The sequence below is a fragment of the Homo sapiens genome, chromosome 11 (assembly GCF_000001405.40).
Source record: "Homo sapiens chromosome 11, GRCh38.p14 Primary Assembly".
In the NCBI taxonomy this organism is placed as follows: domain Eukaryota; kingdom Metazoa; phylum Chordata; class Mammalia; order Primates; family Hominidae; genus Homo; species Homo sapiens.
The window spans coordinates 19954927-19973604 of record NC_000011.10 but is presented as its reverse complement, the minus strand read 5'-3'; the positions used below and the strand labels follow the sequence as shown (position 1 = coordinate 19973604).

Below are 18678 nucleotides of genomic sequence, written 5' to 3'. Positions count from 1 at the left end.
ACACGCTTAATCTCACCACTGCTTGGGTCTTGGCTTTCACCAATCTCCTAGCAGAGAGATTGATCAAGTAGAGAATTTCTGTGTGGTGGTAAAACATACTACCAAGCTTCATGCGTCTTTTGGAAAATGCATTCTCCCGAACACTTCTGATGCACTGAAACACACCTGCCAATCATCATCTGTGGGCTGGTAAGTCTTATCATTCCTGCGATTTCTGCTACGGCTCCCCAAGCCTCAGAGTGCTCTGAGACACAGGCTCACTTTTCACATTAAGTCAGCAGAATTTTTGTTGGCTTTGAGGATTGTATGTTCCCTTTGGAAGATGACTAGAGCCTGTAGGGGTGGGAATCTGACATCTAGTGTCTGTTTCCCTTCTGGGTTCATGTAGACCCCCCCAGGTAACAACAAAAGTCTTTACCAAACTGGGGAGAAATCAGCTGGCACTTTGGCTTAGGTTCATGCAAGTTTCACCTTGTCTTTTCTAGACTGCAGCTGAAAGAATGCCACGGTGTACTGAGAATAGACAGAATGAGAAGGCGACTAATTTGTAATTGTGAGACAATCCCTGCTGTAGACAAAGGCAAAAAGCAGACCTTGGGAACATCATTCAACCTCAGCGAACAACTAGATTTCTGGAAGCACTGTAGGGAGGCTGCAGGAAGGGCTCACATAGAGTCACATGTAGGACTTTGCCCAGAGGAGGCCTATGTTTAAGGTGGTGGCATTTGTGCAACAAACATTTATGTAGTACCTACTGAGAGGCAGGCACTAGCCTGGGTGTTGGGGACATAAAAATCAGACTCAGTCCTTGAGCTTGAGGGGCTTAGTGTCAGCTTGGGGCAAGCAGATGTGTAAATATTTGCATGGGGTTCAGTAAAGGCCAAAGCACAGAGAGGCCAGAAAAGGCTCCTTAGAGAAAGAAAGCCTCCCATAGCATCTTGAAGGTGTCTGCCAGGCAATATTGGCTTGGGGGAGGGAGATCAGGTAGTTCACACAGACACGCATGTACAAACACAAAGGACCCAACATGTAAAGTGAACTCGGTGTATGGTTTTCTATGCTAAGTTTCTACCAGGTGATATTTTCATCAAGACAGTGATTATTCTGGGCACTTATTCTAAATGGGATTCAAAAAATAAACCACCAATACCAAGGAAACAGATATATAGACCTTTGGCCTTCAAGGGTAGAGGATTAAGCAAAACTAGGTGACTATCGGATGCTCAAATTAGCAGCCATTGAATCCACAAGAACAGCAGACATGACAGCTGACAACATGAAATGCTGGCCCTGGTCACTCGTCCAGATGTCACCTTCAGAAACTGTACACAGGCAGCTGAGAACACTGGTTGTCTGTAGGAATGATCCTATCTCCAGGGAGGGAGCAGGAATTTGAAAAGTATGTTCAAGGCCCAATGTTTTTGATAATGCATTCTGTAGCTAAAGTTTGACAAAATTTGAGTTGTTGTGGAGCTATTAAAGATACAGTGATTCTGAAAAGCCACATCTAATTTTACCCTCCAGCTCTGCACCTCCTCACCCCCAAGTCAGGGTGTGAGATCTTTCAGGATGGGGCATGACATCTAAAAAGAAAAAAGTTTGGGCCAGGCACAGTGGCTTATGCCTGTAATCCCAGCACTTTGGGAGGCCAACGTGGGTGGATCACCTGAGGTCAGGAGTTCAAAACCAGCCTAGCCAACATGGTGAAACCCCGTCTCTACTAAAAATACAAAAATTAGCTGGACATAGTGGCACGTGCCTGTAATCCCAGCTACTTGGGAAGCTGAGGCAGGAGAATTGCTTGAACCCAGTAGACGGAGGTTGCATGAGCCAAGATCGTGCCACTGCACTCCAGCCTGGGTGACAGAGCAAGACTGTCTCAAAACAGAAAAAAGTTTGAAAAACATTGAGTTAAAATATGTGAGGATGGAAATCAGTCATTGTCTTCCTGGAGAGTTCAGATTTTGAACTAATTAAGGTACCAGATTTCCATATTAACAGGAACTATCCAAAAGTGTGTTGTACATCCACAAAAGTTGCATATGATACATTCACATGGGGGGAAACAAGGCTGTGTGGCTGGGGTGTTACCGGGGGGCCCACCCATGCCCTGAGCCAGGAAAGGGAAATCTCACAGCTCTCTCTTTGGGGTGTAAAAAGGCTTTTTTATACCCTGCAAAATAGGTCCCAAACCCATCTCTCCATCCCCTTGCCCCCTAAAAAGAAAACAGGCCATGGTAGAAAGTCTTAAGATAAAATCCCACAGTGAAAAGGCACCCTATGCAAACCACAGGCCACAAGAAAAGAACAATCACTCTAACCTCTTCAGCTTGGCACATACCACATAACCCCCGTCCCTCGCATAGTGAGCAATGGAAAAATGCCCTTTTCTACTAAGGTTGGCAAAAGTGTGTCCTACTCAAAAACGTGCCTGTGGGGCCAGACATGACACAAACTCCCCAAAACCAGATGATGTGCTCTCAATGACTAAAACACTTGTGCTTATCTTCACCTGGGCATGCAGTGTTCCCACACCATGATGGTCTGCCTCATCTAGCATATTAATGTCGAAATACAGGATGTCTTTTAGATCATCTCCCCCACCTCCCACTTGAGGACACCACACTGAGAAGGTGTGAACTCTAAAACCTCATTTTAAGTGCAACAGAGCATTGAGAAAAACATTCATGATAGGCAGTTTCATGGAACTACAGAACATTAGATCTGGGGGGATTTCAAAGATTACTTGGTTTAATGATTTTTCAGATGCAAAATGAAGACTCAGAGAATTGGAGTGATTTGTCCAAGAAAATACAAGTAGAAAGTAGTCACTAAGGTTTTTTTCATTTAAATGTATTTGTGTGTTCAATAAATCCTTTTTCTGTCTTTTATGATAAAATTGAAGCCTGGCTCCCTTATTTCACATTTATTATAACTGTTGGCTTGTCTTTCTTCTTGTGCTCCAGCCTTCACCCAACAAGTTCAATAAAGGTAGCTCTGTTATTATTATTTCAGAACCAATACTTTTGCTTCAAAATCCCCAGTCCCTATAACTGTGCCTTCAACTCTCGAGATAGGTACCTACCAAGTGTTTCTTGGTATACTGAAGAAAGAATAAATAACAATCAACAATTAAATTGTTGGACTGGGTGCAGTGCCTGTAATCTCAGCACTTTGGGAGGCTGAGGCAAATGGATCCCTTGAGGCCAGGAGTTCAAGACCAGCCTGGCCAACATGGTGAAACCCCATATCTACTACAAATACAAAAATTAGCCAGGCATGGTGGCGCATGCCTGTAATCCCAGCTATTTGGGAGCGTGAGACAGGAGAACCACTTGAACCCAGGAGGTGGAGGTTGCAGTGAGCTGAGATCATGCCACTGCACTCCACCCTGGGCAACAGAGCAAGACTCTGTCTCAATAAAAACAAAAAACTGCTTTCACTGTAGTCCTCCCTTGTCTGTGGTTTCACCTTCCATGGTTTTAGTCATCCACAGTCAACTGTGGTCTCACATTGGGTGAGTATGGTACAATAAGATATTTTGAGAGAGAGAGAGACCACATTCACATAACTTTTATTAGAGCATATTGTAACAATAGTTATATTTTATTGTTAGTTACTGTTGTTAATTTCTTTTTTCTTTTTTTCTTTTTTTTTTTGAGACAGAGTCTTGCTCTGTCACCAAGGCTGGAGTGCAGTGGTGCTATCTCGGCTCACTGCAAGCTCCGCCTCCCGGGTTCACGCCATTCTCCTGCCTCAGCCTCCTGAGTAGCTGGGACTACAGGCACCTGCCACCACGCCTGGCTAATTTTGTTTTTGTATTTTTAGTAGAGATGGGGTTTCACCATGTTAACCACAATGGTCTCGATCTCCTGACCTCATTATCCGCCCGCCTCAGCCTCCCAAAGTGCTGGGATTACAGGTGTGAGCCACTGCGCCCAGCCAACTGTTGTTAATTTCTTACTGTGTCTAATTTATAAATTAAACTTTATCACAGGTATGTATGCATAGGAAAAAAACCCCATAGTTTATATAGAGTTAAGCACAGTCTGCAGTTTCAGGCATCCACCGAGGGTCTTGGAATATATCTCCTATGGAAAAGGGAGGAATAGTGTATGTATATTTTATGCATTAAGCATCTGGAGAACACAAAGAGAAATAAGATGCATCCTTGCATCTGCTTTAGAGATAAGTCAAATACTATCAATAGTAGACAATGATACAGAAAGGGTCCAAAAAGGACTTCCAGGAAGATGTGGGCCTTCCGGGTCTCATTTAAGGGACAGCATGGCTCCAGCAAAGAGTCCACTGTATTGGGAACAATGTTACTGCCACACCCTAAGGCATCCTGAACTTGAGCTGAAGCGAGTTTCATTTCTCCATGGCCAAATTTCCCATTGTATTTGATTCTTAGAAAAGTGAAAGCAGTATAGTGGGGAGCACAGTTTGAAAAGCAAAAGAACTGTGTTTCTCTTTTAGAATTTCAATATGTATAGGTCAGGACAGTACCACAGGTGTGTTCACAAGAGGGACAGGGTGTGGCACAAACTGTGTGGATGAGCACGTTTCTCCCTGTAGGAAGGCAGCTGCTGGAGCTCTTGAGGTAACCTGGGCATGAGACACTCAGAAGCCAAGCAGCCAAGCACCCAGGCAACCCAGCCAGCCTGCGGACAAGGAGAAGCCAAGGCGGTTGGGAACAGGGTGTGGCAGGGGTGCCCTAGCAGCAGTCGGAGCACTCTGGGGGGAAAGACAGGCTGAGAAGTCGCCGAAACACAGGCCAATGACCTCCAGAGTAGGAGCCAAGCTATGGTCAGTTGCCTATAGGACACTCAAATTACCTTCTATCAGTGCACCAGGAGCTGGTCATAGTGACTGATACTGCTACACAGACCAAATAATGGGGTATCTGACTTTTTTCACTCTTTAACTTGTTCAAACGCTTCCACTTCCACAAGAAGGTAGACAGATAAGCTAAAATCATAATTCAAATGGGATTGAAGGCAAAGCAGAATTCCCTAGGATCTGCATACTGAGAGAGCACATTCAACAGTAAAACATGTTTACACTTTAAAGACCTATTATTAAGGCTGGGCACAGTGGCTCATGCCTGTAATCCCAGCATTCTGGGAGGCCGAGGTGGGTGGATCACCTGAGGTCAGGAGATCGAGACCAGCCTGGCCAACATGGTGAAACCCCGTCTCTACTAAAAAAATACAAAAAATTAGTTGAGTGTGGTGGTATGTGCCTGTAATCCCAGCTACTTGGGAGGCTGAGGCAGAAGAATCAGGAAGCGGAGAATCCAGGAGCTTGAACCCAGGAGCGGAGGTTGCAGTGAGCCGAGATTGCGCCACTGCACTCCAGCCTGGGCAACAAGAGTGAAACTCTATCTCAAAACAAACAAACAAACAAACAAAACTACATCAACAACAACACCCTATTTGTTTTCATCATATGAACTCTAGGTAGTAAAGTTCATGAACATCTCAGCTGGTGTGCAGACACTGTGTTTCCAGCGGTCCTCATACTCTTATCTGGACTGTAGCCACAGTCCACTTCCTTATCTTCCAGATCAGAACCTGGGGCAGCAGGGAGGTGTGCACAATTTTTGTATTTATTAGAAGGAGTCATGGGTTAAACATTTTTCAGAAGAAATGTCTTTGGTGCCTCTACTATCACCCCCAGGCTGGCAGGACCTGTGGAAACGTGGCTTTCCAAGGAGATCCTTATCTCCAGAATACAATACCCAGTCTGCTCAGTCTATAATCCAGCTGTAATGATTCCTCTGGGCACCTGGATACCCTGAATCATAAAACTGAAAGACCTTTGAAAGATCACCTCTTTGTCTCCTTTTCACCTCATGCAGGAACCCCTTCTGTAATATCTGGGATACAGAGTTTTCCAGATTCTGAGTGAATATTCCCAGGAACAGGGAGTGACAGGGCTCATGTCCTTGCAAAACTGCCTCTAGTTTTAACAGGTCTACTTTTGGGCACATTTTTCCTTATGCTGATTAATGGTCACCTTGGTGTCTAGGCAATAAAAAACCTGTCTAACTTCCACCTATGGTTCAAGTTTGGTCCCCTGGAACCTACTGCTTTTCTAAGTACTTTCCATGCCAAGCCAATATTTGTACTTTCTACAAACATTTCTATTATGTTTTGGGTTTTGAATCCTGCACCTTGTTACCTGTTCCTAAAAAAAAACCTCTGCCTTATTCTGAACCCCTTAAAACCTAGCACCGAGAATAAGACAGAGCTTGATATTGTCTAGCTAGCAGAAACTCTGTTGCTTCCCATATTCTTATTCTATGAATCCAGTTGAAGGTTAGGCTTTGTAGAGCTCTAAGGAAAGGTAGGAAAATCCTTGGGTCTACAGAGCCTAAAGTGCAACAGGCGGCAGCACCAAGAGAATAGGCTTGGCTCTCAAGCTTCCTGAAACTGGCCGCACCCTTTAGTAGCAGTATGACCTTGGACAAGGGACTTCTGTCATCCTCAGTTTCCACATCTGTAAGATGGGGACAATCACATGTTATAGGCCTTCCAGGATTTCTACGAGAATTCAATGAGATAATGCCTGAAAAGCACCTGCCACATGAAAAGTACTTAATGAACACGACCTGTATTATTAATAGCAGCAGCAGCAGCAGCACTGCTCCTACTATCACCCCCTTTCTCTCTCTTTTCATTCCGCTCATATTACCCAAGCATACACAACAGGTCTGGTAGAAGAAGTTGGAAACGTGAGAGAGTAAAAAGACACAATCCCTCTGTTCAAGGATATTCTGGCCTGGGGGACAAACTAGCCCAAAGAACATAAGAGAAGCCATCTGGGAGCTGTTACCAGGCGTTTGGAAACTCAGAGGAGGGAGACCATCAATGTCCATCAATGTGCATCAGCGGAGGCTTCCTAGCTGCAGTAGACTCTTGAAGGATTGTGGCAGGTGGGTGGTAATTGATGGGGAGGAGTTTATGGACAGAGCAGACTCATGCAAAGGCTCAGTTACAAGAGCATGGTGTCTGTATCAAGGAAAACGTCTGTGGTTCAGAGTGGCAGGAACAGGATGGCAGCTGGGGTGGGGAGAGGACGGGTGGTCAGTGAGGGGATGAAGGAGATGGCAGGAAATGAAGAAATGAGGCTAGGCAAGTTGATCATTTGTTAGCTTCTCAAATGCAAAAGGAGGGCCCATGATGCACCATGCTCTGTGCTAGGCACTGGGGATACATAATGTACAAGAAAGACAAGGCTTGTGTCTCCATGGAGCAGACACTCCAATGTGAGACTATGGAGGGAGGGCCGTGTATATCACACTGGGTGGTATGGGGATATATTGTTGTGAACTGTATTCGCCACAGATGACCACAGCAACATCTCTGGATCCCACATGCAAGGTGACCTTGCCATCCTCCCACTGAGAGGTGGGATCTATGCACCTTCCTCTCGAATCTGGAGGGCTCGTGACTGCTTTGACCAATACAGTATGGCAGAAGGGACAGTCTCTGCCTTCCAAGGCTAGATGATAAAAGGTGAGGCAGCTTCTGCATTGTTCACTGTACCCTTTGCCCTTGAGCCCTGAGCTCCATGTAAGAAGTTTGCCAATCCCCAGGAAGCCACGCCATGTGGAGAGGCTGCAGCCATCTTAACCTTCAAGTCATCCCAGCCCAGGAGTGAGACGTGGGAGTGAACAAACTCTGGAATAACTCTAGCCTTCAGCTATCAAGTCAATGCCAGCCCTGCTGTTTTCCAAGCAGAGGCTCCACACATGGCAGACCAGACATATGCCATCTCTGCTATATCTTGTCCCAATTCCTGGTGCAGAGACCCCATGAACATAATGAAATGGTAGTTTCAAGAAGCTACATTATGGAGTAATTTGTTGTACAGAAACAGTAACTAAAACACAGAGTTTTCTCAGCAGGCAGTGAAGAGCCACTGAGGAATGTAAGCAGAGAATATAATCAGATTTGTGCTCTAGAAAGATCTCTCTCACCAATGTGTGGAATGGATTTGTTGGATGGGCATTGGGATCAGAAGAAAGGCAATTAGTGAAAGGATGAATTGTCATCATCTGGGTGAGAAATATTAGCAGCAAGATGAGAGAAAAACCATAGTAAGAGATACTTAAGAAATGGAATCCATCAAATTCAGTGACTGGCGTTCCATGAACAAGAGAATGGAAGAGTCTAAGATTCTGGGTTCTGGGTGTGGGAAAAAAAAATGGATGGTGGAAACACAGAAGAAAAACAGGTTTGGGGGAAAGAAGAGCGATTACATTTTAGACATGTGTACACAGCTTCAGTGAAAGTCCTGAAATGAGTGGTTGAATTCAGGCTCTGAAGTCAGGCTGTCCAAGTTTGAGTCCCAGCTCCCTAGCTCACCACCTCTGCAACCTTAAGGCAAGTTACCAGTGGCCCCGCCCCCCCAAATCCCTGTGTCCTCAACAGGAGAATGGGAAGAGGAGTTCCTAGAACATAGAGATTAAAATAGGAGGCTGGGTCCAGTGGCTCACACCTGTAATCCCAGCACTTTGGGAGGCTGAGTGGGGTGGATCACCTGAGGTCAGGAGTTCCAGACCAGCCTGACCAACATGGAGAAGCCTCATCTCTACTAAAAATGCAAAATTAGCCAGGCGTGGTGGCACGCACCTGTAATCCCAGCTACTCAGGAGGCTGAGGCAGGAGAATTGCTTGAACCCGGGAGGCAGAGGTTGTGGTGAGCCGAGATCGTGCCATTGCACTCCAGCCTGGGAAACAAGAGTGAAACTCCATCTCAAAAAAAAAAAAAAAAAAAAAAAAAAAGTAGAATGAGGCCAGCTGTGGTGGCTTATGCCTGTAATCCCAACGTTTTGGGAGGCTGAGACAGGAGGATCACTTGAGGCTAGGAGTTTGAGACCAGCCTGGACAACATAGCAAGACACCATTTCTACAAAAAATGTTTTAAAAAAATTAGCTGGGTGTGGTGGTACATGCCTATAGTCCTAGCTACTCAAGAGGCTGAGGCAGGAGGACTGCTTGAGCCTAGGAATTCGAGGTTTCAGTGAGCTATGATCATGCTATTGCACTCCAGCCTGCACAACAGAGCTCCTAAGCTCCTGTCTCATAAAAAAAAAAAAAAAGAGGATGAAAAGAGATAATGTATATAAAGCACAGTGCCTGGCATTTAAAAGTGTTCAATAAACGGTAGCTAGTCGTGTTAATATTATTACAATGGTCATTATTATTAACCGTTATATATACTTGGTCAGAGGCTAGGCAGGTTCTTTGTACCCTGAGGGCCTGGCTACAGGGCATTAAATGAAAGCTGTTCCCAAGGAGCCTCACATACAAATCTGGTGCATGGTTTAGTCAACTGTAACGTCCGTGTCAGCTTCTAAAATAGCTACACCAGCTTGCAAAGGAGGGAGAAAATCCAGTCTGTTAGCTGTCCTCAATCTCTGTCTCTCTCCCTCTCTCTCAACTCAATGGTTGAGTGGTTTTAATTAACAACTCCCAAAGAGTAAGGCAAAAGTCACTCGATTAATAAAGCTCTAACTTGCCGTGCACAATTCTGAGGTCTCAGGGTGGCGCTGAGCTTGTAATTGTGGGTTTTGTTTGGGTTTGCAGTGGGTGAGGGGCTGAGGGAGTGGAATTTCCTCAGAGAAATTCGGGTATCATGTCTAGAAACCATAGGTGACTGAAATGCCCACTTTCATGAGATTTAACAACAGGAAGCCACATCGCGGTAAGGCGCTTCGGTAAATCACTGTGCAGAATTGGCTCTTGATCTGAACTTTCCTGCCTCTGAGCACCTCATCGGTTTTCATTTCCAGCACGCAGAGAACCAGTTTTGCCCCCATTCACTTTCTGCATAAGCACTGGGGAATGTTGACACAAGTGTTTCTCATGCTACAGTAAAGACCTGTGACATTTAATTGAAATTAAACACATAATATTGCTTTCGAGGCAAAGAGAAGTATCTGCCTCTGCCCCTGCCACAGCCTCCATGGTCCTTGCACAAGCATTCTCCAGCTATTTTTTTCAGTTCCTACATAACTCACTCCTCTGTACCTTACCCTTCCAAATGGCACTTTCAGGTCCCTTCATAGCTCCTTCAAATGGCACTGGGAGTATCCAGGGCTTCCGATGTTCAGAAGGTGCACACTCTTCCTTTTTGGTCTTGCCTTCCATATATTCGGATATTCAGAGTGTGGGGACTAGCTATAGTAAACTGCCATCCTATAGGGTGCTTGGGATCCCGGGCTTTGAATCAGCCTGGCTGAATGCTTGCTTCCACCAGTTACTGTCTGTGTGGCCCGGCCAAGTAACTTCACCTCTCAGAGCTTTGGCCCCCTTGATTGTAAAACTGGGACGAGAAACAGTCTCTATTGCAAATAACTAGTGGAAAGAGTAAGTGAGAAAAAGCATGTAAAGAGCTCAACACAGTGCCTAGCACATAATAAACTCTCCAAAGCAGTTAGCGACTATGAATTACAGTGCCACCACAGCAGGACTGGCAGAAAGTCATGGGTTAGCAGGCGCTGTTGAGTCCTCTGTGGCCTTCCCCCTTCTCTATAGAGCCAACACCACATTTATTTCGTCCCATGTTTCTGACAACTTGAGTTGACTTCACCCTTTAAACTTCACTGCTCAAGTATGTGAGCTTTCTAATTTCGAAACAGATGACTGGATGATTACAAGCACAAAGCTCTGGGAAAGGGATACAAGACTCCAGTGATGCAGTGGAGATAACCACAGACCCTGTCTCCCACTGTTCCCAAGATCAAGAAGTGAATGTGGGCTTGATTTATAGGTAGAAGGCTCTGGAGACAAACTTGGGGCCTCTCCTTAGGCTCAGAATCTTATTTCATTTTTGGGTCTCAAAAATCATCAGCTCTCTGGAGGTGTCCATGCCAGTGTGTCTGTCTCACTCTGCAGTTATTTCAGGATTAAGAGGAAAGGTCAAAACCTCCATTTCTCAGGGAGATTTCTTACCAGGACCCAGGGGACGAAGGAAGGGATGCAATGATTCTTCCAAGGCAGGCATAGAGTCTTGATCTGTGGTCACATCCCAGGCAGGGTGCGTTAGCTTTGAGCCCTTGCAGATGTTTATTAAAGCTGATGTGTTGACCCTGGGCCACAGGTGAGTTGCCTCCTCCCTTACATGATTCACTCCCACTGATCATATGGCAAGGCCTGCTTACAGGCTGGGATGGCTGATTTTATGTGTCAACTTGGCTGGGCCACAATACCCAGATATTTGGTCAAACACTAGAGTCCAGATATTGTTGCAAAGGAATATTTTAGATGAGACTGACGGTTAAATCAGTAGACTCTGAGTAAAGCAGATCATCCTCCATAATGTAGGTGGGTCTCATCCAATCAGTTGAAGGCTTTGAAAGACTGATGTCCTCTGAGCAAGAGGGGATTCTACCTCAAGACTGCCTTTAGATTTGAGCTGCCACACTGACTCTACTCTGGATCTCTCAGCCAGTAGGCAGGCCAATAGGCTGAGAGACCCAGGGAGGAGTTGATGTTGCAGCTCGAGTCTAAAGGCAGTCTAAAGGTAGAATCCCCTCTTGGCCTGCAACGAGGGCATCTGAAGATTTTGGACTTGCTCAATGACATGACCAATTCCTCTACACATGCATACACCCATACCCACACAAACCTACACACACCCTATTGGTTTCGTTTCTCTGGAGAACCTTGACTAATGCACAGACCAACTCTGATCCAGCCAGGAGCTATTTGGTCACTGTGCTCAAGAATAAGATGTTGTGCCTGACATCATCTTCGTAAATGTCCTAAATAAAATAAAAGACTAAAAAGGCAAGCAGATGTAGTAACTCCAATAGGGCTAAAGGAGCCACCATGCTACCTGTGCCAAACACTTTACAAACACCATCTCCTCTACTCCTCCTCACACACCTGAGAGGTGCGCCACAGTTTAACACATGGGAGGCTCAGGAAAGGAAGAAATTTCCCTATGGTCACAGCTGCCAATCAAGAAATGTGAAGTCAGGTCTTCTGCCTCTATCTCTAAAGTTTCTTCCATTTCCATTGTACATTTCTTCCAGAACAGCTTGATGAGAGGTTCATGAGGTCCCAACAAAACTTAAGCTTCTTATCTTGATCTGAGCACAGGCACACATAGCCTTCTGTTTTGAGTCTTTCAACATGGGCCGACTGTCTCAGGGCCAAAATACTCCCAACCTTGTCCAAATGTTTCTTTTCATATTCACCTCAACTCGAACTTGGTATTCTCCAACCTTCCCATCATAAATCTGTTGAGCCACTCTGTAGCTGCTGGCCCTTGAAAAATACTGGGAAGGGTATTTTCAACTTGAGTGATCTACATGCTTAAGATAAAAATAAACGTGGGCCGGGTGCAGTGACTCACACCTATAATCCCAGCATTTTGGGAGGTCAAGGTGGGAGGACTGCTTGAGCCCAGGAGTTCAAGACCAGCCTGGGCAACCTAGTGATACCCCATCACTATATAAAAAGAGAAAAAAATTTTAAATTAAAAAAAGAAAAGAAATATGGATTTGGTTTTCTAGATGAGAACTATGCAAAGGCTTAGCAGGAAAAACAGGGGGGCTCAGGGACTGTCTGTGAGCCCTCGGGTCTCTGTCTTCCAGGTCCATTTGCATAACACTGAGTAGAGAAAGAAGATGCCTGCAGACCACTACTCTCCAGGCAAAGAGGGTGGCCCTGGGCTGGACATAGTGGTTCACACCTGTAATCCCAGCACTTTGGGAGGCCCAAGGCAGGTGCATCACTTGAGGTCAGGAGTTTGAGACCAGCCTGACCAACATGGTGAAACCCCATCTACTAAGGATACAAAAATTAACTGGGCATGGTGGCATGTGCCTCTAATCCCAGCTGCTCGGGAGGCTGAGGCAGGATAATCACTTGAATGCGGGAGGCAGAGGTTGCAGTGAGCTGAGATTGTGCCACTGCCCTCCAGCCTGGGCAACGGAGCAAGATTCTGTCTCAAAAAATAAATAAATAAATAAATAAATAAATAAATAAATAAAATTTTAAAAAAGGGTGGCCCTAAAGGATGCAGGACAGCATCAACTATAGCAAAGCAACAAGAGCACCAAAGTCACACTGGAATCCCAGGATACAAAGGGAAAGTGACAATAAAATGGTAGGCCATCTTTTTCAACTCTTCCATGGGCTTAAGACAATTAAGTAACAATTACCCTCTAGGGTCTTCATTTTCTTTATTAATAAAAACAGTATAAAGCCAGAGTGTGGGAGTTAGATAAGATGCCTAGCACACAGAAGGGATGCCACACATATCAGCCCCCATAAGCCACCCGGAGCTCCAGAGTAGGATGGAATATGTTTTTCCTGTACATGTAAGCACACTTCACTAAGTGTGAGCTCATGGGCCCCTGGTAAGAACCTTGAATGATCAAAAGTTGGCACAAAAAGTACAGTATCAAACGGTCCAGCTTTGAGAACAAATAACCGACTCCTCCTCTTGTCCATCAAGCCCCAGGGCACAGTCAGGGGCCTGGAACTGACTAGAACTTACTAAATACTTGCCAACTTGATTCAACTAACATGCAGAGTCTCGGTCATGTTGATTAATGGACTTAAGGTGGAATTTCCCTTAAACATCTGGGCCAGTCTCAGTAACACCCAAATGCTGGCTGTGTTTTGTTGATGCTGCTTGCCAGTGAAGAGCCCCGGAAGGGCAGGAGGTCCGTTCCAACAAGACAGCAGACAGTCCAGATGGTGGGGGGGGAAGAAGGAGCACCTTGCTAAGCATGATTAGTCACAGCGGGCTTCTCTCGCCCAGCACGGTAGCTGTCGGCTGGAGGGTATCGTGTTCATGCTTCCCACATGAACATCAGTTATGGTCTTATGTCTAAGGAGAGGGCTCACTAGCTTCTTACCCTTTGGGGCTTGGGGAGGAGTCATGCGGGGAAGAGCATGAAATATGTTAAGTACTTTTATCCTGCACGATGCGCTGAATTTGGTTATATCAGATTGAATCTAGGAAACACCCTCATTATGAGGACAGTTTGGTGAGGTCTGCAATGCCCCAGGAACTGGGCTAGCACTTTGCCTGTGTCACCTCATTCAATTGTCACCATAACTCCAGGCATTATTATTCTCATTTGCAGATGAGCACAGTGGGCTTCCCAGAATGTGAAAGTGAGAACTTACAAGGTCCCCACAGGACCTGCTCTAGTTTCAGATCCACTTTGGAGCCCCCACATTTTGCCTCTTCATGTTAACATTCACCACCATCTGCCTTGGGTTGCAATGAACTATGGACACGCAGGGTGTTCTTCCCCTCTGCGCCCTGAGTTCCTCCGGGGACAAGAGTTGGCAGGCTGTGGGACTGGGTTTTCCTAAGGCTCCTGGAATCATATTCTACACTCTCCTTAAACATTCAACCCACCTTGGTCTGGGGGTGGCCTGAGAGGCCTGAGACAATCTGGGAGCACAGGGTGGGTGCTAACATGCAAGAGGGAAAGCTAGGAAATGACAAAGGATGCTGAGGACAGACATCAGCTATTTCCCAGCAGTTACAACACAGGCTGGAGCTGGGGAGCCATCCTTATCTTCTCTGTCTCCTTTGTGTCCCCTGTGTAACTGGCCCCCACATCAGGCTGAGTTTAATGTAAAAAGTGTCTTTAAACTCATTGTGCATCTGTTCCCCTGGCCCTGGCCTTACCCAGCCCTGTGGCTCTGCTGCGTGGACTCTGGAATAGCTTCTAACCTGAGCCCACTGCCTCCCAACCTCCATCTTGAATCTGCAACCCACCCAAGCACCAACCTCATAATAACATGACAATGCCTGTATGTCCTTAGGCTATTGGTCTGCCTGGGCCCTTGTTTATCCTGTGAGGCCCAGCTCACATGTCCTCAAGGTGCCACCGCTGCTGCTGGTAGTGACAGTGGTGGACAATATGGTAGCGAACCCTGCTGAGTGCTTAAAGCATGCATGCCAGGCACTGGGCTGAGAGTACACACCATGATCTCACTGAAACCTCACATCAAACCTATGAGATGGGCACAGTGAAATTAAATAGGTTACTAAAGGACACACAGCTAAGAGTAGTGGAACCAGCCTGGACTGCAGGTCAAACTCCACAGCCCACACTTTTCCCACCGACCCTCACCTTATGGTAAGGGTGTTTGTGTCCCAACACAAGCCATCACTTCCTCACTGGCCTCCTTCACTCACCACTCTTATGCTGACCTACACAGTGCCCTGTTGCATGATCTTTCCTTCACAGCGTTAGGATCTTGGCAACCTGGTCTTACTCATTTCCCTTGGTCTCAGTGCTTTTAGCATAGTCTTTAACATATAACAAACTCAATAAACACTTTTTACACGGGATTTTACTGCCTTTTGCCTGGAGCCTACCCAGAAGGTAGGCCAAAGGAAAGGATTCCAGTGTCCAAGGCCAGAAGACCCTGTGCTTTGGAAAGCTATGGGAGGAGGAGGACATCTGTAAGGGTGGGTGGCAGGCAGGGAACAGCCCATTTGGAGGCCTCTCAACAAGGGCCTGAGACTTCCTTCTCCCAAAGCACCCACTTTTGTTCCCGTCTTCTTTTTCCTTCCCACAGGATGCAGGGGTGGGAGGGAGGCAGGAAGGGATTCAAGCCTCAAAGCTAGTTAGGAAATTCCCAAGAAATCGAGGCCCAACCCTAGTTTCCTGAGAAGACAAGACACCCATTTATTTTTTTTTCTCTCTCTCTTCCCCATAAATTACTAAGCCAGCATTTGCCATTAGACATCTGTGGCAGTCTGGGCTGCCCACGTCAAAGCTGGACCACACTTCATTTCTCCATGGGGCTGTCCCCCAGTAAATCTCTTTTTAATCCAGGTCTCAGCCTGCTAAGTCTGTCGTCACCAGCAGTGGACAGAGTGCGCATGGGAGTGCTGGAGAATTTCTCCTCCTCCAGTGGGCTAGCAGCTCAGCTATTCTTTCTCCTCTGATGAGACTGCCTACCCAGACGCCGATAAGGGCTAGTAGGTTTCCTGCACTCAGTACATCAAGTGGGTCCACCGTGGAGGGAGAAGAGGTGTTCAGTTTATGCTGCCCCAGCCATCAGGGATGACTGATATTAGTAGCCAGAGCCATCCATCTGCCAAACCACCCATGTCAGACAACATCACAACCATGCAGGGAAAGCTGTCATTTGTTCTGCAGCACTTGGGGAAATTAATCTTGCCCTCTGCATGACTCTGCGCTTGCTCACTCTACCTAGAGAGCTGCTTAGGAAAAGAGACCATTGTACTTGCCTGGGATATTTAACACCAAGGAAAATATCAGACAGGGAAAAGTATTTATGATTTCTGTGAATTCATACACTATTAAGAGCTGTCAGCAAGTAGACACTGAGGGAAGCAGAGAGGCACAAAAAGAACCCTAGACAGGATCTGGCCCAGCCCCATCACCAACCTATTGGGCTACTCTGGGCCTGTTCCTTCATCTTGGAGCCTCATTGCATCTTTTAAGTCTGTCTGTTTTAAGAGGATGGCAGTGCATTAGGGGCAAGTGACTTGCTGTGACATAATGAGAAATGCATATTTGGTCTCTGCTCCCAGTGCCTGGCACAGAGCTCCTAAGTCTTTGGAATTTCTTGATAGGGGTAAGAGGAGCATCTTTTGTTATTCATAGCAAACCCCTTTCAAACATACCTGGGCTTATGCTACTGAGGTGACTCTTGGAGGATAGGAGCTGGTTGCGAGACAAACCAACCATGGGATTAGAGCATTGGAACTTTCATTCCTGCCCTCTGACCTCCAAGACAGTAAGGAGACAGTAAGGCGGGGATGGAGATGGACTTAATTGCTGATGGCCAATGATTTAACTAGTCATGCCTACATAATAGAGTCTCCAAAAAAACATTCAACTATGGGACTCAGAGAGCTTCCAGGGTGGTGGACACACAGTGTTGCTGGGATGGTGGCACTCATGGAGAGGGCATGGAAGCTCTGCACCGCCCCCACACCGTGCACTATGCACCTCTTCATCTGGCTGTTCAACTGTATCCTTTACCATATGCTTTATAACACACCAGCCACAGTAAATAAGTGTTCCCCTGAGTTCTCTGAGCCATTCTAGCAAATTTCTGAATGTAAGGGAGGTCATGGGAACTCCTGATTTGCAGCCAAGTTGGACAGAAGTGTGGGTAACCTTGGGACCTATGACTTGTGATTGGCATCTGGAGAGATAGAGAGAGAGAGAGAGAGCGTGTGTGTGTGTGTGTGTGTGTGTGTGTGTATGTGTGTCGGGGGTGTGGTAATCTTGTGGAACTGAGCCCTTAACCTGTGGCGTCTAGGCTAACTCTAGGTAGATTGTGTCCGAATTGAATTGAATTATAGGATGTTCAGCTGGTGTAGGAGAATTGGTTGTGTGGGGAAAGCAACCCACATATTTAGTGTCTGAGTGTTGGGAAGAGAGACTTTCCATTCATTGGCTCCAAGCCCTACAGATGGGTCTGTCCACATAGCTGAGTCTTTACCTTTCCTTGACAGCTCAGTCTTCCTAATCCCACTGAGACCAGCCCACTGGCTGGCTGGCAACCTGAACTTCCCAAGCGTTCCAAGAGCGCCAAAAGCCAAGATCGTTTCAGTGGGATCGGCCTAGAGAAACGAGAATCTATCCTTTCCAAATCTCGAGATGCCTGCCACACCCTGCTGGAACCTGCCATAAATCAGTGCCTTTCAGGACAGCCTCTCCTAAATTCATTTATCTTGGCTCCAGGGTGCGTTAGGCTGTAAGGAGCACTCTGGCTTTCTCTCCTATCAGTCTGCCAGAAACAACAGCCTATCAAGGTCACTCCAGGTCTGGTCTGGACATATTCACCAGATAAGAAAGAGCCTTTCATGCTATTAATCTACCCCCTTTGATTCAGGGTACTGTCTGCTATGTTCTATGCTGACTTGGTGAGAAATACCTCACACATTTGTCCCATAATGTTCAGTGAAAGAAGGAAGAGATGAACAGGGGCATGTCTATCTTCCATCAGTCCACATGGCAAATGCCCCTAGTTCTCTCTTTTTCTTGTATTGACAATGTCAAGCTCACAGGGTTAGAGGCAGTCTAAACTGACAGGGCCCAGAAGAAGAAAGACATGTGGCTACGTCCTCAAACTCAATGGTGCTACAATCATAGGCACAAATTCATTTAGCGGAATATGGTTGGCCTTGCCATTTTTAAAGTTAGTTGTAGCATTCATTTGACATTTTTTTTTTCTCAGACAAGGTCTTGCTCTGTCACCCAGGTTGGAGTGCAATGGTGTAATCACAGCTCGCTGCAGCCTCAACCTCCTGGACTCAAGTGATACTTCCACCTCAGCTGGGACCACAGGAACATGCCACCATGAACAGCTTTTAAATTATTTGTTGCAACAGGTCTCACTATATTGCATAGGCTGGTCTTGAACTCCTAGGCTCAAATGATCCCCCCATCTCAGCCTCCCAAAGTGCTGGGATTGCAGATGTGAGTCACCATGCCCAGCCAACAAATATTTATTGACTGCTTACTATGCAACAGGCAGGCACAGTGCCAGCCAATGAAGATACAGGAGCATTCAAGACAGATTTGACCCTAACCTTTAGAACTTACAACAGGTTTGGGTTTTGTCTTTCCTATCCCATATATATATATATGTGTGTATATGTATATATATATGTATATATGTATATATATATGTATAT

General features: G+C 46.0%; 1 protein-coding gene across 46 annotated transcripts in view, besides 2 other annotated features; it reads right to left on the bottom strand.

Moving 5' to 3' along the window:
* NAV2 (neuron navigator 2) overlaps positions 1 to 18678 on the bottom strand; it is a 776366-nt gene that overhangs the window by 147997 nt on the left and 609691 nt on the right. The gene's annotated exons all lie outside the window — the stretch shown is intronic.
* Positions 3334 to 3463: an enhancer, noted in NCBI's record as "active region_4524". NCBI's record gives its function as "activates an Ori minimal core promoter by ATAC-STARR-seq in GM12878 lymphoblastoid cells {active_cell/tissue: GM12878}" and the evidence as "EXISTENCE:reporter gene assay evidence [ECO:0000049][PMID:35858748]".
* Positions 15108 to 15402: a silencer, noted in NCBI's record as "tiled region #6685; HepG2 Repressive non-DNase unmatched - State 7:EnhWF". NCBI's record gives its function as "represses a minimal TATA promoter and a strong SV40 promoter by Sharpr-MPRA in HepG2 cells {active_cell/tissue: HepG2}" and the evidence as "EXISTENCE:reporter gene assay evidence [ECO:0000049][PMID:27701403]".